The sequence below is a fragment of the Homo sapiens genome, chromosome 1 (assembly GCF_000001405.40).
Source record: "Homo sapiens chromosome 1, GRCh38.p14 Primary Assembly".
Lineage (NCBI taxonomy): Eukaryota > Metazoa > Chordata > Mammalia > Primates > Hominidae > Homo > Homo sapiens.
Window position 1 is genome coordinate 158,967,470 of NC_000001.11, and position 20,446 is coordinate 158,987,915.

The following is a 20,446-nucleotide window of genomic DNA, read 5'->3' on the forward strand; positions in this document are numbered from 1 at the left end:
ATGCTCATGGATAGGAAAAATCAATATTATTAAAAATGGCCAGATTTCCCAAAGCAATGTACAGATTCAATGCTATTCCTATCAAACTACCAATGACATTCTTCACAGAATTAGAAAACACGATTTTAAAATTTATATAAAACCAAAAATGAACTTGAATAGTCAAAGCAATCCTAAGCAAAAAGAACAAAGCTGGAGGTATCACTTGACCCAACTTCAAACTATACTGCAAGGTTACAGTAACCAAAAGAGCATAGTACTGGTACAAAAACAGACACATAGACCAATGAAACAGAATAGACAGCCCAGAAATAAGGCCGCCCACCTACAATCACTGGATCTTTGACAAAGTTGACAATGACAAGCAATGGGATAAGGACTCCTTTTTCAATAAATGGTGCTGAGATAACTGGCTAGCCATATGCAGAAGATTAAAACTGGACCCCTTCCTTACACCATATACAAAAGTCAATTCAAGATGAATTGAAGGCTTCAGTGTAAAATCTAAAACTATAAAAACCCTGGAAGATGACCTAGAAAATACCATTCTGGATATAGGGCCTGGAAAAGACTTCGTTTTGAAGATGCCATAAACAATTACAACATAAAGAAAAAATGACAAATAGGACTTCATTAAACTAATGAACTTCTGCACAGCAAAAGAAATTACCAACAAAGTAATCAAACTATCTACAGAATGAGAAAAAAAAAATTGCAAACTTTGCATCCAACAAAGATCTGTTATCCAGAATCTATAAAGAATGTAAACCAATTTACAAGAAAAAAATGAGCCACCCCATTAAAAAGTGGGCAAAGGATGTGAACAGACCCTTCTCAATAGAAAACATACACATGGCCAACAAACATGAAAAAATGCTCAACATCACTAATTATTAGAGAAATGCAAATCAAAACCACAATGAGGTAACATCTCACACCAATCAGAATGACTGTTATTAAAAAGTCAAAAAATAACAGATACTGGTGAGCTTGCAGAGAAAAGGGAACACTTATATACTGCCAGTGGGAGTGTTAATTAGTTCAGCCATTGTGGAAAGCAGTGTGACAATTCCTCAAAGAACTTAGAACAGAACTCCCATTTGACCCAGCAATCCTAGTACTGGGCATATGCCCAAAGGAATATAAATTATTCTACCACAAAGACACATGCATGCATATGTTCATTGCACCACTATTCACAATAGCAAAGACATGGAATCACCCTAAATGTCCATTGACGTTAGACTGGATAAAGAAAGTGTGGCACATGCACACCATGGAATACTACACAGCCACAAAAAACAATAAGATCATGTCCTTTGCACCAACATGAATGGAGCTGGATGCCATTCTTATAAACAGAGCTAAACAATGAGAGAACACACGGACCCAAAGAGGAGAACAACAGACACTGGCGCCTACTTGAAGATGGAGGATGGGAAGAGGGAGAGGATGAAAAAACAATTCTTAGTGGGTATCAAGCTTAATACCTGGGTGATGAAATAATCTGTCCACCAAACCCCTGTGACATGCAGTTTACCTATGTAACAAACCTGCACATGTACCTCTGAACCTAAAATAAAAGTTAAAAAAATAATTTTTGGTCTTACAGTCAACATTCAAATCCAGCCTTAATGAACTCTAAAACTTAAGTATTTCATGGTCATATATTGCTTCCAGAGTCAGAATGTAGATGTTAAAATTTCTGAAATATTTTTCTATATATTTAAAGTCAGACATCGTTATGGTTTGAGTTTGTTTCCATAATTCAGGTTCTGCAAGGCTTCGCATGAGAAATTAGGTAACTGTGACTCACTATTTCGTTCTTTCTCTTTCACTGCCATGTTAAGGCCTATGAATCAGATGCCTATATCTTCAGTAAATGGGCAGGCAACTTGAAGCTAAGGTAAAAGGAAAACTGAGTCACTATCTTCCAATCTAGTATCTTACCCATTACCATATTGCACTCTGACCAACCTTCTTTCTGCATCACTAATACATGTGTACCAGTTGAAGACAGGACTCCTATGTAAGGAGTTCTCATTTTTACATTTTGTTTTGTTGCTGCTTTTGTTCTTTTTGACTGGTGAATTCCAATAATTCATATTTCTCTGTACACTTTCTAAAATTACTATTTGTGGATAGTGCTATCAATCTAACCTATTTGCCATCTTACTTCAGGTGGTTAGATGGAGCCCATTCCTGGTCATTATCAGCTCTGATCCATTTACTCTCTGCTACTTCAAAGACAAACATTTAAAGACAATCCATTTTCTGACGCATAATGGCTTAGACAAAATGGAGTGACAGTTTCTAAGTTCTTTTGTCTAAATATGTAATACAGCCATTTCTACATTCATAGGAATTATTCTGCTGTACATAAACTCCCTTAATACAATAATTTTAGAAAGAGGCATGTATCTCCATGGCCACCTACACCTAAATGTATCATGGACCTTTTCTGCTTTGGTGACCCACTCCAAGGTTGTCTCACCACTCAATCTATGATTCACCAGGTGAGCAGGAAAGCCTTGCCCATTTACTCATCAAGGGTTCACTCAAAAATTTGTGTATGATATAGGTTCATTATGCTTTGGGATCTAAACCCCGAAGAAGACAGAAGCATGACCATCTGTCATGACTCATCTAAAGCATAGATCACAGAATGGCATGAGTCATGATCAGGGATGCTATTAGGGAGAAATTACTATGAGGAAAATAATCAGCAATGATTTAAATTAATATTCAACCAAAGCTAAGATCTTAGGCATCCAAATTCTGCTTCTGTAATGAAAATGTTTTTGTTTATATTTTATTATGTATATTTGTTAATGATTTAGGGGGTACAAGTGCAGATTTGTTACATGGTTAAATTGCGCAGTGGTGAAGTTGGGACTTTTAGTGTATCCATCACCTGAATAGTGTATGTTGTACCCATTAGATAATCTCTCATCCCTCACCCTACTCCCACACTTCCACCTTTCTGAGTCTCCAATGTCTATTATCACATCCCCTCTACGTCCAATATCACTTCTTGGCCTTTCCACTAAGATAACTGTAATATCTGATCTTATCAGTTTTGACTTATTTTGAAGAGATACTTGTTCAATTCACTTTTATCAATGAGATTAGACTACTAGCTTTGGTAGAAGGGAATAGAGACTAGCTTATTTAATATTTTACCCATACCTCCTCAATGAGATTTTCTACAACTGGGTCAACATAAAGCATAAAATATCTGTGAATAGAGCAAACACACAAACACTGCATATACTATAACAATGAAAATAATAATGATATTTCTTCTTATTGAGCATTTACTGGATTCTGAAGTAAAGCTGTGTTTATTATAAAATGTATAGCATATATTCTTTATTGCATATCCATGAAGATACAACCTATATCTCATTTCACATATGAGAATCATGAGGTTCAGAGAAGTTAGAAATCTCTCCCAAGCTAATAAAGATAATTAGTATTAGTTGAAAGATTCATATTCAACTTAGTCAACTAAAAAGTTTTTGTAGTTGAGGGAGTATGTTTCTTCCAGTGAGAGAGAGTAGATATTAAAATATCTGTAATATATCAATAAGCATTTCAAATAGTGTTGAATTTTACATTTGTTTTTATAATCCAGACTCTTCAAGCTTCTAAAACAGGATGAGGTGCACAAGATGGCTAGGGTTTGTTGTCCTCACTTGGAAACCCTCATAAGCAAACTGATCTTTCAGCACTTTCCTTCCATCTCCTTAAGGACAAAAGAAAAATATTATGGAAATCTACAAATAGAAATGAATGAGAGTGATTTGATATTGGAAGTAGAATGTCCTTAATTATTTTCCTTAGTAAAGAGAGTGATTTGATATTGGAAGTAGAACGTCCTTAAGTGCTTTCCTTAGTGCTTAGAGAGAATCACATGTGATTTTCCAGACACCCATTATCCTTACATTAACAAGATATATATATATATATAAAGACATGTTCTGGGAATGCCCTAGTGAAATCTGAAACGGTTGTGATTGCTGTTGGGAATCCTGAAGGATTTTGGATACCTGATGCAAATCACTGGATAAACAGAATCCTGACTGGAACTGTGCTTTCAGAGAGTGCTGATAGCAAAATGAAGATCAGTATCCCCAAACAACTGACAACTGATTTTTCTGGGTCCTGAAGTGCAAACTACAGGAATCCTTTGTGTATTTGCTTGATGAAAATGGCTTTCATCCATTTGGCTAACATTGTTCTGAAACTTACTACCCTTATAACTTAGGAGCATTACTTAACAAAAATAACTCCAGCAGAGGTGCTTGACCAAGTTAGCCTAGATGAGTTTTCACCAGAAACAGAGCCAGGACCCAATCACACACCTACAGAATTTCAGTCAATAAAACGAAGGCCAAAATGCCATTTGTGAATGTGCAGGTGAAGAGGTTAGGATATCTAAAGTTATGCTGCTAGCCAGAGAAAATGCAAGAAGGAAGACAATGTAAAAAGAATAAAAGAAAAAAATAAATTAAAAAATCAAACCAGATAGATGATGATATAGATACGTATAGATATAGAGGCAGATACATAATCAGGCTTCATCTCATAGTGAAACCATTAATCAGAAAAGTCGATCTTTTCTTCAGAACACAGATGCCAGAATCACCCAAACATATGACTCCAATAAGATAGTATCCTTTCAAAGTGTATAGTCTGCATAGGTAAAATTCAGTCATCGGAGAACCTCCAACTCTGAACCATCCTCAGATGTCACAGAAAATGTCACAAACCCCATCTGGTAGTTCTTTAACCAAAGTACCAACTTCTTGTTGCCATTCTTTGTGCCTCCCTTTATTATACTTAAAGGGATAATCAGTATCTTGACAGAGCTTTTCAATCAATCTCTGACTAAATAGTTTTTTATTTTACTATATTTCTCATTCATTTATTAAGTATATAATCAGAGATGCTACTAGATTCTAGGATTTTTATGATTTACAAGGGATACATTGATAAAATCATTCCTGACCTAAAGACATTATTGTGATTTATGATCCAGATATAGAGAAAGAGTGGAGGAGAGTACACAAAGATGAAGAAATACAAGAGTGTGTTCCTCTCTTACATTTCATTGTTCATTCACAGATTTCCCTTTTGCTTCAGAACCATAACTCACAGTTTATTTTCAACATTCTTACTCTTTCCTACATGTTTTTGTTTCATACATGGTACTCCCTTTGTCTGGAATCTTTTTCTCCTATTCCTTCACTGGCCTTTATATATTTTTGGGCCAGCCTAAAACTGTCTTCAAGCAAGACCTCCTGATAACCCCATCCAAAAATAAGACAGATCATCTCTTTGTGTCCTTCACATGTCCATTTATTTCCTTTATAATACTTGTCACCACAGTAATTATAGTATATTTTCAACCCTGTAAGTAATTGAGATTATATATGCTACCTGCTCAGGTAAGTAAAAACAAAGGTCCATGAATGAGTTTATATCTGTGTGTATGAAATCCTATTCCATGCTGCCTTTTACTTACCAGTAAGTTGGACTGTGTAGTCACCTGCCTCTGTGCCACAGCACCCTCTATCAGCAGTGAACAAGAAGTCAACTTAGAGAAAGAAAAGGGGAGTATTAAGTCTTTATTCTCTCATCTAGTTTTTCACCCAGGCCCCAAGATCCACACTGACCCAGCCTACAGCCTCAGTGACTCCCCCACACCTATGAGTTGAAGACAGACTTATTCTTTACAGGAGTTTGCTATATGTGACTGGATTTTTCTTTATTATTTTGTTATTGTTACCCAAAGTTCATATTTTCCTGAAGAGTGTCTACAGATTTTATCTGGTGGATCAGTAAGCAGGCAGTCATCTTGGCAGAAGTGGCCTCAAATAGACCCCATGCCTAATCATTTCCAGCTCAGATCCATTTTCTCTTATACTATATGCTAGTTTCTGTGTATGCTGAAATGTGGGTTAAGAAAACTAAATGTATGCCAGCATCCAGAGAGATTAGCAGAGGGAAGATTCTATAAAAAGGGATTTTCACACACACACACACACACACACACACACACATATACACACATGTATTACATCCAACTTATATAGGAAAATATTAAGCAGAAAAAACCAGTTCTTTCTGTCATAAAGTGAAAGACTAAATTACCCAAATTTATGACTCCAGAAGGATGAAACCCACCCAGGAGCACAGTCATCGCCTGCAAACTTTAGAATCACCTCACCAACTGTGGCCCCTCCTCTTTCTTCTGACACTTCCACCAACCGCCATCCAGCAGTTCCTTAAATAAGGTACCACCTTTCTATTTGCATTGCTGTACCTCTAAAATATAATTGTAGGGGTAATCAGAGTCTTCAAAGGGATTCTCATTTAAATTCTGACTATATATTATTTCATTATTTTACTACATTTCTCATTCATTTATCAATATATAATTGGACATGCCACTGGATTCTAAGTCCTTCAATACTCACAAAATATGCATTCATGAAATCATTTCTGTCTTCAGGAAGATTACTGTTTTTCATTGGTGCAAATATGGTGTATGTGAGGAGGTATCCAGACAAGGAGAGATGAATACAACAGTATGTTCGTACCTTCTATTCCAGTTTCCTTTCACAATTTTCCACTACGACTAATGACCATAACTTAGGATTGATATTCAAAATCCCTGTTTCTTTCCATAGCTAGTGTCTTGGCATATGCTACTTCCTTTTTTTAGAATCCCTTACTCTCATCTCTTCATTTGCCCCAATATATTTCTGGGCCAACCAAAATCCCCCTTCCTCAGAAAAATACTGCACTGATATTCTCCTCCTGCCATAGAACACATCATGCCAAGGTGTCCTGAACATTTCTCTTTATTTTATTTAGAACATTTATTAAAATTCTAATAATAAAGTGTTTTTCAACCACACTTGATAATAAGTACAGTTTATAGATTTCTTGTCCAGAGAACATCAGACAAAGGTGAACTAATGAATTTATATCTAAGTGTTCCAATTGAATCCCAGCCTGCTTTTGGTCATGATATGACCAGTGGAGTCACCTCCACCTAGGGAACAGAAGACTATGATCTACAGTGAGAGGGAAGGTGATGAAAGAGAAAGGCAAGAGGAGAATCATGTCACCACTCTTTTAGTTGAAGACATGTCACCATACAGACTAGTTGAAGACAGATTACCTATATACAGGAGTTCTCAATTTGTGGTCGTTTTTTGGTTTGTTTATGTTTTTGTTGTTTTTGATAAGCCCGAGAATCACATTTTCCTCAATAAATTATATGTAATTTATTTGAGAGTCAAAGCTAGCACGTCCTCTTTAGCCATCTTGGCTTAGGTGACCATGGATGGAACGCATATGTAGTCATTACCAGCTCAGACCCACTTTTCTGTTACTTAATAGACATAATTGAACATCCCAGGACAACATTCTGGAAAAGAACTTATTTTTCCTGCATTTTGGCTTTGAAGGGACTACGCAAAGTTTGCCTAGGTTCTACCATTTTAAATACGCATTATGGTCTGTTTCTATAGCCGTTAGATTTATTTGACTGCATCTAAACCTCCCTTAGCCCAGGAATCTCAGCTAGGGTCCTATGTCTCCTACACCTAACCTCCCATATAGCCATTTCTTCTTTGATATCTAGCACTTCCACAGGATGCCTGGAAAATACATCCTGTTACTTCCTCTGTGATTCACTAGCTCTGAAAGAAGTCCTTGCTTTTGTATATCATAGATCATCCCAATAATACTGTGTTTGTATTAATTATTAATTTGTATAAATTTTTCTATGCTTTTGGATTTAAAGTCAAAAGCAGACCATTCTTATTTTTCATCTTTTGTCATGACTCTCCTAAATCAAAGAGCCCAGAATGGTTGGGAAAACAAATGGAGATATTACTGGCTCAGAATTACTATATGGGAAAAAACGAAGCTATTAGTTTTATTCCCAATCACTACAACTTTATCTGGGTTTTCCACAAGAGGATCAACATAAATCATAATTCATTTCTGGATCAGGCTGACATAAAAAACTTGCATAGTCTTTAAATAACAATGAAAACAATATTTTTCTAACTGAGCTTCTACTGGGTAAAGCTGGAAGTGAAAGTTATGTTTTTATGTATATGATTGCATTTACTCTTCAATACACCTCTTATGAGCACAGTAGAAAGACCATGTTCCAGGGAAAAAACGTGTTCTGCTCTAGACAAGTTAAGTTTGAGATTCCCACAGGACATCTAAGAATTATCCATCTGATATATAGAGCTTAAACTTGGGTAATTTTGGCTGGGCCTTTTACTGAATTACATCAATAGAGACATAGTTGTTAAAACAGTGGATGTGACTAAAAGTACCTAATAGAATGGAAATAATGATGTCTCTCATTTACTGAGTATGCAGAATGACTCAGACTATTCTAAGGGTTTTTCAATAATTATCTTCATTAATCCTTTATAATCCAATTGTTTCACATATTAGCTCATTCAATTATTTGTGGTACACAATGAACAGAAGAGGGAGTTAAATTTGAGGGTGGCCAACATACCTCATAACAGTCCTAAATTACCAAGGATGTCCCTAAGCAAATCAGAACACAAAGGTAGCTGTCTTTTGTGAGAAACATCTCTGTGTAGACAGAGATGGTTGGATCTACATGACAAAGTTTATGCTGTTTGTCACATATATTCATGTGGGATTCTTGGAACAAATAAAGGCTAATATTGGAATGCAAAAAGATCAGAATAAAGGCTAACACATTCAGACACACAAAAATGCAAAGGCTTTCTGATTGCTCCAGTTCTCAGGGCCATTAGTCAAAAGTCCCAAGCCTTCCTTGACAGCAGTTGCACCAGGAATACATTTTGTACGCTCCTCCTACCTTTCTGCCCAATGAGAAGTTTCCCTTTAGCCCTTGTCGTTGGACACACCAGCTCCTTTCTCTATCTTATTGTTCCCTGACATCTCCTGCCCTTTCACGTGGGCTCATGCTGGGTAGGAGTGAATATCGCATTTCATGGTCCCAACAGAGGGGGAAGATGTGACTCCAAGGACAGGATTCATTAAAGGAGATAGATGAGAATGAGAAAAGAGTGCTTCAGATGGAAATAGAAGAAGAGATGTGGCTCACAGGGAGGAGAGGCAGTGTGATTGAAGAAAGAAATGTATGACTCCCTGCATCTCAACGGGTTTATTTTTATCTCTTTATGCTTCAAGGTCACCAAGGACAAGGATATCAAATAACTACTGTTCAATCTTTACTCAAGTGTGGAAATTTTGCCTGAAGTCCTCCACCTAAAAACCTGATGCCATTGGTAATGATGTTTATGAAGATAAGATCAAAGCACAGAAAATAATATATGTATATATATCTGGTTGAAATACTATATATATATATATATATATATATATATATATATATATATATATATACCAGCTATTAATTCTAGGAAATGGAGTATTAAGGGTGCATTTTATTTCATTAGTTTTACTTTTATGCATTTTCTTCATATCATATTTTGCATTCAGAATTTTCATAATTTGAAAAAAAATAAACTTTTTTTTCTTAAAGAGTGCTTCCATAGGAGTTTCTTTAATCTATCTGTGAGTTATGTAAAAGCAAATAAACTGTGGCCTGCAAGTCAGGGTGGGGCACACAGATTTATAGTTTGGATGGGATCTTTAAGGAATAGGCCCTGGTTAAGACTGAACTGACTGTGCCCTGCCCAAAGAATCCAGACCAAGGGGCAGGTAGGGGTGAAATCCAGCCTGTGATTCTGTTGCAAGCACTGTGTCCTGGGAAGGAGTTGCTCTAGCCAAAACTAGAGATATCTTTTCAGAATTGGACTCCTGGAGGGGGAATAATTGGGTAATTTTCTTGCCAAACCAGGCACTTTCTGGTGATGTGCATGAAGGCACTTGCCTATGTTAGAGGAATTCCTGGCCCTGTTTGATGTAAATTATCTGGTTCTATACATTTCCTTCAGCACCAACAGCTCCTCAGGAGCTCTCCCACCATATTCCCTCTTCTCACATTCCACTATATGAATCCATCAGAAAGTTGCCCAGGCAGACAGTTAACTTAGGCAAACTGAAGAATAATTAATTTATTTTAGAGTAGAATGGCAGAAAGTCAGTATCTAAAACTTACAATGTATTTATGGATCATATATTTGGCACCTGGTGTAATTATTTTGTGTCATTTAATCTTCACCGTAGCTCTAGAAGGTTGACAGTTTTCTCCTTTTTACTCTCCATATATAAAGAAAAAAGGGCACAGAAAGCAAATTTACTTTCGAAGTGACACTTAGGTGGTCTTATATAGTCCTTGATTTAACATCCAGGTCTGTTGTTCTGGCTTGGGTTAGGTGTGCTAATGTTAGGAGAACAGGGATAAGATGCAAATTAAACAATGAATAAGACGGATTCCACCTAAGATGGAGAAAGCTGAAAAGAGCCTCACTCTCACCCTTAAAATTATGAAAAAGTAGATAAATGCAAAATAGCAATCTTCTGTACTCATCAGAGAACTGTGGTGATCTGAAGCTATATATGCCCAATTAATCTAAGGAAAAGAGGCATTAAAGTTCTGCCTTTATGGTTTGGACCAACAATCCAAGGAATAAATGTAGTTTTTTTTTCCTCTTGCCCTGCACCTTTCCGATTATGTCTTTTATCAGACATAAAGGTAAGAAAGTATGATAGATTCAGATACCATGAATAAGTTTTTTCAGACATTCTTTATTGCCAAATATCATTGCTAATATTCATATGTGTGTGTGTGTCTATACATATATATATATATATATATATATATGATAATTTGGTTCACTTGGGAAAATCAAATTTTGAAGGATGTTTTGAAGCCACCGAATTTTTTCCTCATGTGCAGTGAAAAAACTGAAATTCAGAGATTGAGTGAAGTGGTCAAAATCACATCATTCAGCTAGTTAGGAAACAGATTTCATCTTGAGAAGATGTCACAAACTGCTAAAACATCCTCCAAATTCAAATTTGACTTATGGACACTGAGAAAATAACTGCTTTATATGCAAATGATATTGGTATTCTGAGCTACTCAAATACATAATATTCATATTACTTTACATAAACTAGGTATAATGGACCACTCTTGAGTATGTAGATGATGGTAATTAACAGTTAGAGAATGGGTCATTTAGGTGCTTTGTCTAATGTGTTTGCTGATTTCTCCCTGAAATTTTAACTTCTAAGGACAGTCATGTCTGTAAATGAGATAGGAAAGAAATTATCTTCCACCCGAAAGAATTAGCCTGTTCACTGTGTTTTAATTTAAACAGCGTCAACCTCTAATGCCTTGACCCCACTCTATCTTATATTTTTATATCTTACTACACATCAGAGCTCCTACTTGGGACCACAAGTAGGTGAGAATCTGGGGCTTCCCCTAACTTTGAAATGTGTGAACCAAAGAGAAAGACAGAACAGCTCACAGAGATCTAACCTACCCTCATAGACATCTTAGAGATCAGTTTGTACCAAGTGGTTCTCTGCAAGAGGCAGTGAAATAGCTCTGAGAGGATCTCTAGTGTATTAGCAAATGATTATGATTGGAAGAGGCAAATCCAACACTGTTAGCAACATTATTTCTCTAAAACCACATAGTGAGGCATGTATTAGAATTTTATGATGATAAGAGCACGTGAGATCAACCACTTAACAAATTTCAAGTTTACAATACAGTATTAGGAACTATAAGCACAGTGTTGTGCAGCAGATCTACAGAGCTTATTCATCTGGCATATCTGAAGTTGTATACCCATCGAATAGCAGCTTCCATTTCCCCCTTCCTCCAGCCCCAGCTAACCACCATTTTATTTTCTGCTCCTGTAAGTTTGGCTATTATAGATACTCTACATAAGTGGACTCATGCAGTATTTATTCTCTTATGAGTGGCTTATTACACTTAGCATAATGCCCTCAAGTTTTATTCATGCTGTAACTATTGCAGAATTTCATTCATGCTGTAACTATTGCAGAATTTCCTTCATTAAGAAAGAATAACATTCCATTATATATACACACCACATTTTCTTATCTATTCATTCAAAACTGGGACATTTAGGTAGTTTTCACATCTTGTCTATTTTGAATAATACTGTAATGTACATGGGAGCGCTAGTAATATCTCTTCAACTCCTATTTTAATTATTTTGCATAAATACCAAGAAGAATAAATCTTGGGTCATATGGTATTCATATTTTTTTCTTCCAACTTTTATTTTAGATTTAGGGGCTACATGTGCAGGTTTGTTACATCAATACATTACATGTTGCTGGGATTGGCATACAAATGATTTTGTCACCTAGGTAGTAAGCACAGTACCTGATAGGTAGTTTTTCAGTCTTCACCCTCCTCCCACCCTCGACCTTTAAGTAAACCACCAGTGTCTATTGTGCTTCTTTTTGTGTCCTTGTGTACTCAATGTTTAGCTCCTACTTATTAGTAAGAACAAGTGGTATTTGGTTTTCTGTTCCTGTGTTATTTTGCTTCAGATAATGCCTTGCAGCTGCATCTATGTTCCTGCAAAGGACATGATTTGTTGCAGGAAGTCAGGGACCCCAAATGGAGGGACTGGCTGGAGCCACAGCAGAGGAACATAAATTGTGAAGATTTTGTGGACATTTATCAGTTCCCAAATAATACTTTTATAATTTCTTATGCTTGTCCTTACTTAAATCTTTTAATCCTGTTATCTTCATAAGCTGAGGATGTATCTTATCTCAGGACCACTGTGATAATTGTTAACTGTACAGATTGATTGTAAAACATGTGAGTTTGAAAAATATGAAATCAGTGCATCTTGAAAAAGAACAGAATAGTAGCGATTTTTAGGGAAGACAACCGTAAGCTCTGACTGCCTGCGGGTTTGGGCAAAACGAGCCGTATTTTTCTTCTTGCAGACAGCCTATAAATGGATGTGCAAGTAGGAAAGATATTGCTAAATTCTTTTCCTAGCAAGGAATGTTAATATTAATACCCTGGGAATGGAATGCGTTCCTGGGGAGAGATCTATAAATGGCTGCTCTGGGAATGTCTGACTTGTGCAGTTGAGATAAGGACTGAGATACACCCTGGTCTCCTGCAGAACCCTCAGGCTTACTAGGGTTGGGGAAACTCTGCCCTGGTAAATTTGTGGTCAGACCGGTTCTCTGCTCTCGAACCCTGTGTTCTGTTGTTTAAGATGTTTATCAAGACAATACATGCACCGCTGAACATAGACGCTTATCAGTGGTTCTGCTTTTACCCTTTGTCCCGTTCCCTCAGAAGTATGTGATCTTTGTTAGACCTTTACTAGTGGTTCTGCTTTTTGCCCTTTAAAGCATGTTATCTTTGTACCTACTCCCTGTTCTTACACCCCCTCCCTTTTGAAACCCTTAACAAAAACTTGCTGGTCTGAGACTCAGGCGGGCATCATGGTCCTACCGATACATGAAGTCACCCCTCGTGGCCCAGCTGTAAAATTCCTCTTTGTACTGTCTTTATTTCTCAGCTGGCTGACACTTGTGGAAAATAGAAAGAACCTACATTGAAATATTGGAGTCAGGTTCCCCCAGTAATGATTTTGTATTTTTATGGCTCCGTAGTGTACCATGTTGTATACGTACCACATTTGCTTTATCTAAACCACTGTTAATGGCCATCTAGATTGATTCCATGTCATTACTATTATGAAAAGTGCAATAAGCATACACATGTACTTTGGGAGGCTGAGGTGGGTGGATCATCTGAGGTCAGGAGTTCGAGACCAGCCTGGCCAACATGGTGAAACCCTGTCTCTACTAAAAATACAAAAACTTAGCCTTTTGTGGTGGCAGGCACCTGTAGTCTCAGCTACTTGGGAGCCTGGGGCAGGAGAATCGCTTGAACCTGGGAGGCAGTGGTTGCAGTAAGCCAAGATTGTGCCATTGCACTCCAGCCTGGGGGACAAGAGCGAGACTCTGAATCAAAAGATAAAGAAATAAATAAACAAACAAACAAAGAAACCATATACAAGCACGTATCTTTTAGTAGAACAATTTATATTCCTTTGGGTATATACCAGTAATGGGATTGCTGGGTCAAATGTTAGTTCTGTTTTAAGTTATTTGAGAAATCTCCAAACTGTTTTCAACAGTCGCTGAAGTATTCAGCAAATAGCATCAGGATCACTGGCTAGCTGTATGAAGAAAATTAAAACTGGACCTCTTCCTTTCACCATATAAAAAAATATGGCATATAATTGGCATTTCCACCCTCAATGTATAAATGTTCCCTTTTCTCTACAACCTCACCAGCATCAGTTATTTTTTGACTTTTTAATAGCAGCTATTCTGACTGGTGTGAGCTGGTATCTCCCTGTAGTTTTGATTTGCATTTCTCTAATGATTAGTGATATTGAGCATTTTTCACATGCTTGTTAGTTGCATGGATCCTCTTTTGAGAAAGATCTATTCATGGCTTTTAACCATTTTTAATGAAACTGTTTGGTTTTTGCTTGTTGATTTAAGTTCCTTATAGAGTCTAGATATTAGACCTTTCTCAGAAATCATAGTTTGCAAATACTTTCTCCCATTCTGTAGACTATCTTTTTATTCTGTTGATAGTCTAATTTGCTGTACAGAAGATCTTTAATTAGATCTCACTTGTCAATTTTTGTTGTTGTTGCTACATTTGCTTTTGGAGTCTTTGTCATGAAGTCTTTGCCAAGGCTAATGTCCAGAATAGTATTTCCTAGATTTCTTCTAGGGCATTTACAGTTTTAGGTTTTACATATATAAGTTTTTTTTAACTTTATATTGAGTAGATTTTTTATATGGTGAAAGGAAGGGTTCCAGTTTTAATTTTCTGTATATAACCAGCCAGTTATCCTGACACTGCTTGTTGAATAGGAAGTACTGTTTCCATTACTTGTTATTGTCAACTTTGTTGAAGATCCAATGGTTGTAGGTGTGCAGCTTTATTTCTGGGTTCTCTAACCTGTTCCATTGGTCTATGTATCTGTTTTGTTCTAGCACCATGCTACTTTGGTGACTGTAACTTTGTAGTATAGTTTGAATTTGGATAGTGTGATGCCTCCAGCTTTGTGGTTTCTGCATAGGATTATTTTGGTTATTTGGGATCTTTTTTGGGTTCCATATAAATTTTAGAATAGTTTTTCTAATTCTGTGAAAAATGACATTGGTAGTTTGATCAGAATAACATTGAATCTGTAAATTGCTCTGGAGAATATAGCCATTTTAACAATATTGATTCTTCCTATCCATGAGAATGAAATGTCTTTCCATTTGTTTGTATCATCTCTAATTTCTTTTAGCAGCATTTTGTAACTCTTGTTGTAGAAATCTTTTACCTCCCAGGTTAGCTGTATTCCTATGTGTTTATTCTTTGTGTGGCTATTGTGAAAGGAACTATGTTCTTGGTTTGGCTTTCAGCTTGGGTATTATTAGTTGTATAGAAATGCTACTAATTTTTGTACATTGATTTTGTATCCTGAGACTTTGCTGAAGTTGTTTATAATTTCTGGGAAATTTGGGGCAAAGGCTATGGGGTTTTCTGGGTATAGAATCATATTACCTGCAAAAGGAGGTAGTTTGACTTCCTTTCTTTCTATTTGGACGTCTTTTATTTTTTTTTCTCTTGCCTGACTGCTCTGGCTAGAACTTCCAGTGCTATGTTGAACCAGGAGTAGTGAGAGTAGGCAACTTTGTCTTGTTCTGGTTCTCAAGAGGTATGATTTCAGCTTTTGCCTATTTGTGATATGATGTTGGCTGTGGTTTTGTCATAGATGTCTCATTTTGAGGTATGTTCCTTTGATACCTAGTTTGTTGAGGGTTTTTAACATGAAAGAATGTTGAATTTATTGAAACCTTTTCTGCATCTATTTAGATAATCACGTGATTTTTGTTTTTAGTTCTGTTTATGTGATAAATCACATTTACCAATTTGCGTATGTTGAACCAACTTTGCATTCCAGGGGTAAAGCTTACTTGATCATGGTGGCTTAGCTTTTGCTGTGCTGCTGGATTTAGTTTGCTAGTATTTTTTTTTGAGGACTTTTGCATCAATATTTATCAGGCATATTGTCCTGAATTTGTTTTTCCTTTGTGTTTCTGTCAGGTTTTGGTATCAGAATAATGCTGACCTCATAGAATGATTCAGGGCAGAGTCTCCGCTCCTCAATATTTTGGAATAATTTTGGTAGGATTGGTATCAGCTCCTCCTTATCTATCAGGTAGAATTCAGATGTGAATCTGTCTGATCCATGGCTTTTGTTGGTTTGTAGGTATTTTATTATGGATTCAATTTCAGAACTTGTTATTGATCTGTTTAGGTATTCAATGTCTTCCTGGTTCAATCTTGGCAGGTTGTATGTTTTCAGGAATTTATCTGTTTCTTCTAGATTTTCTAGTTTTTCAGCATAGAAATTGTTCATAATGGTCTTTGAGAGTTTTTGTATTTCTGTGGGTTCCATGGTAATGTCCCCTTTGTCATTTCTAATTGTATTTATTTGGATCTTCTCCTGTTTTTTTTTTTTTTTTTGTATATTAATCTGGCTAGTGGTCTATATATCTTATTCTTTCAAAAAACCAATTTTTAGTTTTCTTAATTATTTTTGTGAATTTTCACATCTCAATTTTATTTGGTTCAACTTAGATTTTGATTATTATTTTTCTTCTGCTAGTTTGGGGGTTGGTTTCCTTTTGTTTTTTCTAGTTCCTGTAAATGTGATGTTAGGTATAAATTTAAGATATTTCTGACTTTTTGATGTAGGCCTTTAGTGCTATAAACTTTTCTCTTAACACTGCTTTAGCTGTGTCCCAGAGACTCTGATATATTGTATTTTTGTTTTCATTAGTTTCAAAGATTTCTTGATTTCTGCATTAATTTAATTTATTACCCAAAAGTCATTCAGGAGTAAGTTGTTTAATTTCCAAATACTTCTATGATTTTCAGAGATCTTCTTGGTATTGATTTGTATTTTTGTTGCACTGTGATCTGAGAGTGTGGTTGATATAATTTCTGTTTTTTGAATTTCCTGAGCATTGCTTTATGGCCAAGCATGTGGCCAAGCATGTGGCACAGAGTATGTGCCATGTGCAGATGAGAAGAATGTATATTCTGTTGTTGAGTGGAATGTTCCTTATATGTCTGTTAGGTCAATTTAGTCAAGTGTGAAATTTTGTTCCTGAATATCTTTGTTAGTTTTCTCCCTCAATGATTTATCTAACAATGTTAGTAGGGTGTTGTATTCTCCCACTATTATTGTGAGGTTAGCTAGTTCTCTTCATAGGTCTCTAAGAACTTGTTTTATGAATCTGGTTGTGCCAGTGCTGAATGCACACATCTTTAGGATAGTTAAGTCTTGTTTGTAGAATTGAACTTTTTATCATTATGTGATGCCCTTCTTCATCCTCTTTGATAGCTTTTGGTTTAAGGTCTGTTTTTTTTTTCCTGAAATAAAAGAGCAACCCCTGCTCTATTTTGTTTGTTTTCCATTTGCTTTATAGATATTCCTCCATCCATTTAATTTAAGCCTGTGTCTTTACATGTAAGGTGGGTCTCTTGAAGACAGCATGTAATTGAGTCTTGCTTCTTTATCCAACTTACCATTCTGTGCCTTTTAAGTGGAGTGGTTAGCCTGCTTATGTTCAAGGTTAATATTGATATGTAAGGATTTGATCCTGTCATAGTGTTATTAGCTGGTTGTTATGTAGACTTGATTGTATAGTTGCATATTGTGTCAGTGGAATATTTACTTAAGTGTGTTGTTTTGTGGCAGGTAGCAGCCTTTTGTTTCCATGTTCAGCACTCCCTGAAGGACCTCTTATAAGGCAGGCCTAATGGTAACAAATTCGCTTAGTGTTTGTTTGTCTGAAAAGGATTATGTTTCTTTTTCACTTACAAAGCTTGGTTCGGCTGGATATGAAATCATGGTTAGAATTTCTTTTGTTTAAGAATGCTGAATGTAGGCCTTTAATCTTTTCTGGCTTGAAAAATTTCTGCTGAAAGGTCCACTGTTAGTGTGATAAGGGTTCCCTTTGTACATGATCTGCCTCTTCTCTTTTGCTGCCTTTCATATGTTTTATTTACCTTGATCTTGGAGAATTGGATAACTATGTGTCTTAGGGATTGTCATCTTGTGTAATATCTTGCTGGGGTACTCTGAATTTCCTGAATTTACATGTCAACCTCTCTAGCAAGGTCAGGTAAATTTTCAGGGACAATATCTTCAAATATGTTCTCCAAGTTGCTTGGTCTCTCTCCCTCTCTTTCTGTGATGCAAATCAGTTGTAGGTTTGGTCTCTTTACATAAACTCATATTTCTTGAAGTTTCGTTCATATTTTATTATTTTTTCCTTTATTTTTATCTGACTGAGTTGATTTGAAGAACTGATCTTCAAGCTCTGAGATTTCTTTCCTCAGCTTTCCTCAGCTTCTGCTGTTAGTACTTCCAATTATATTATGAAATTTTTGTAGTGAGTTTTCAGCTCTAGTAGGTTAGTTTGGTTCTTTCTTAAAATGGCTATTTTATCTTTAAGCTTTTGTATTATTTTATTGGATTTCTTAGATTCCTTTGATTGGGTTTCTGCTTTCTCCTATATTTCAAGAATCTTCATTGCCATCTAGACTTTGCTGGGTAGGTAGCATGGTAGTTTGGAGGTAAGACACTCTGGTTTCTACAGTGCCAGAGTTCTTGCACTGGTTCTTTCCCATCTGTGTGGGCTAATATTTTGCTAGTCTTTGCAGTTGCTGTTCTTTGGATGGGGCTCTTTTATTTTATATTCTTTGATGTCCTTGAGTGTCTAGCTGTGCTATAAGTTGGGTTTAGTTGATCGGCTTTGTTTCTGGATAATTTCATGGGTCCAAGGATCAGCTCAGCACTGTTAGGCTGTGTGCTCTACCCCTAGGGGTCTGAAACTAGGCCAACACCTTTTTTTCTGACCACTTGAGGTAAAGGACCTGCTGCACTGAAGGGGCTGAGGTGTTCTCAGTCTACTGTCTAAACCATCTATGTGGGGACATGCTGGCAAAAATGCTTTGGTGGGACAGCAATTGTGGGTCAGTGCTGCCAAGGCCATGCTGAAAGTTGGTGCAGCGAGGCAGAAACTCTGAGAGAGGCCAGCAGATGGGGACACTCTGATCAAACCAGCCCCACCCTTTGAGCAGATAGTTCATTTCTATCCAGCCCTTGCAGCCAACAAAGGCTAAAGCCACCTAGAGGAGTATGGCAAGACTTAAGGGATGGGCGTCCATGTCCATGCTCCACTGCAGCCATTCCTGTGCCAAACCCTCTGTCTGCGCAATCTGGAGTTCTGTCTCTGCCAACTCTCTTGGCACTTTTAGCCAGCTCAGATGTCTGTGGGAGTTATGGGATCTCCTACAGCTAGGATTCTGGAAGTCCATGGTGAGAGTGGGCCACTCTACACCTATTTCATGCAACACTTTCCCACATTTTTAATTTTTTAAGAAACCTCTATAATGTTTTCCTTAGTGATTATACCATTGTGCATTCCCATAAATAGCATATAAGGGTTACAATTTCTCAACATCCTTACCAACACCTGTTATCTTTTTTGTTTGTTTGTTGATACTAGACATCCTAACAGTTGTGAGGTGATGGGATATTGTCAGAAAGTCTTCCAAAGTGGCTACAACAATTTACATTGCCACAAGCAGTGTAGAAAAGTCCTAATTTCTCCACAACCTCATCAACACTTGTTATTACATAATTTTTTATTCTAGTCAGCCTAGTGGGTATAACCAACCCAGTGGGTATAAAGTGATTTGCATTTCCCTGATGACTAATAATGTCAAGCATTTTCAAAAATACTTATTGGCTGTTTGTATATCTTCTTGGAGAAATTTCCTATTCAGAGTCTTTGCCTATTTTTTATTTAGGTGGTCTTTATTATTAAGTTGTATAGTTCCTTATAAGTCCCTTATTGAATATATGATTTGCAAATATTTACTTTTATTCCACTGGTTGTCTTCTCATATTCTTGATAATGTTATTTGATACGTAAAAGTTTTTAATTTTAATAAAGTCCAATTTATATTTTTTTGCTTGTGCATTCGATATCATATCTTAGAATCTATTGCCAAATCCAAGGTCATGTGGATTTACACCTATGTATTATTCTAAGATGTATATAATTGCAGTTCTCACATTTAAGAGTTTTGATCCATTTTGAACTAATTTTTTCATATGATATGAAATAATGAATCCAGTTTATTCATTTGTATGTGACTATCTAGTTGTCCCAGTATAATTTCTTGAAAATGACTAGTCTTTTCTTTCTAGAGAGAAAGCTGCAATACCTGTGGATTTTAAAATAGTGTCTTCCTGGCAAAGCTAATTCAGATAAAGTCTTTACAGTGGCCTCCATTTCATATGACTATGCCTTATAA

General features: G+C 36.4%; 1 protein-coding gene across 6 annotated transcripts in view; it reads left to right on the top strand.

Annotated features, from left to right (window-relative positions):
* PYHIN1 (pyrin and HIN domain family member 1) overlaps window positions 1-20,446 on the top strand; it is a 59,319-nt gene that overhangs the window by 35,918 nt on the left and 2,955 nt on the right. For 2 of the 6 annotated variants that reach the window (NM_152501.5, NM_198928.5), the window contains exons 8-9: window positions 6,178-6,302; window positions 9,232-9,590. The exons of 1 other annotated variant lie outside the window; for it this stretch is intronic. In NM_152501.5, the coding sequence (NP_689714.2) occupies window positions 6,178-6,297 (120 nt within the window). In that variant the 3' untranslated portion in view covers window positions 6,298-6,302; window positions 9,232-9,590. 3 more of the 6 variants (NM_198929.5, NM_198930.4, XM_011509242.3) reach the window with 2 other exon arrangements.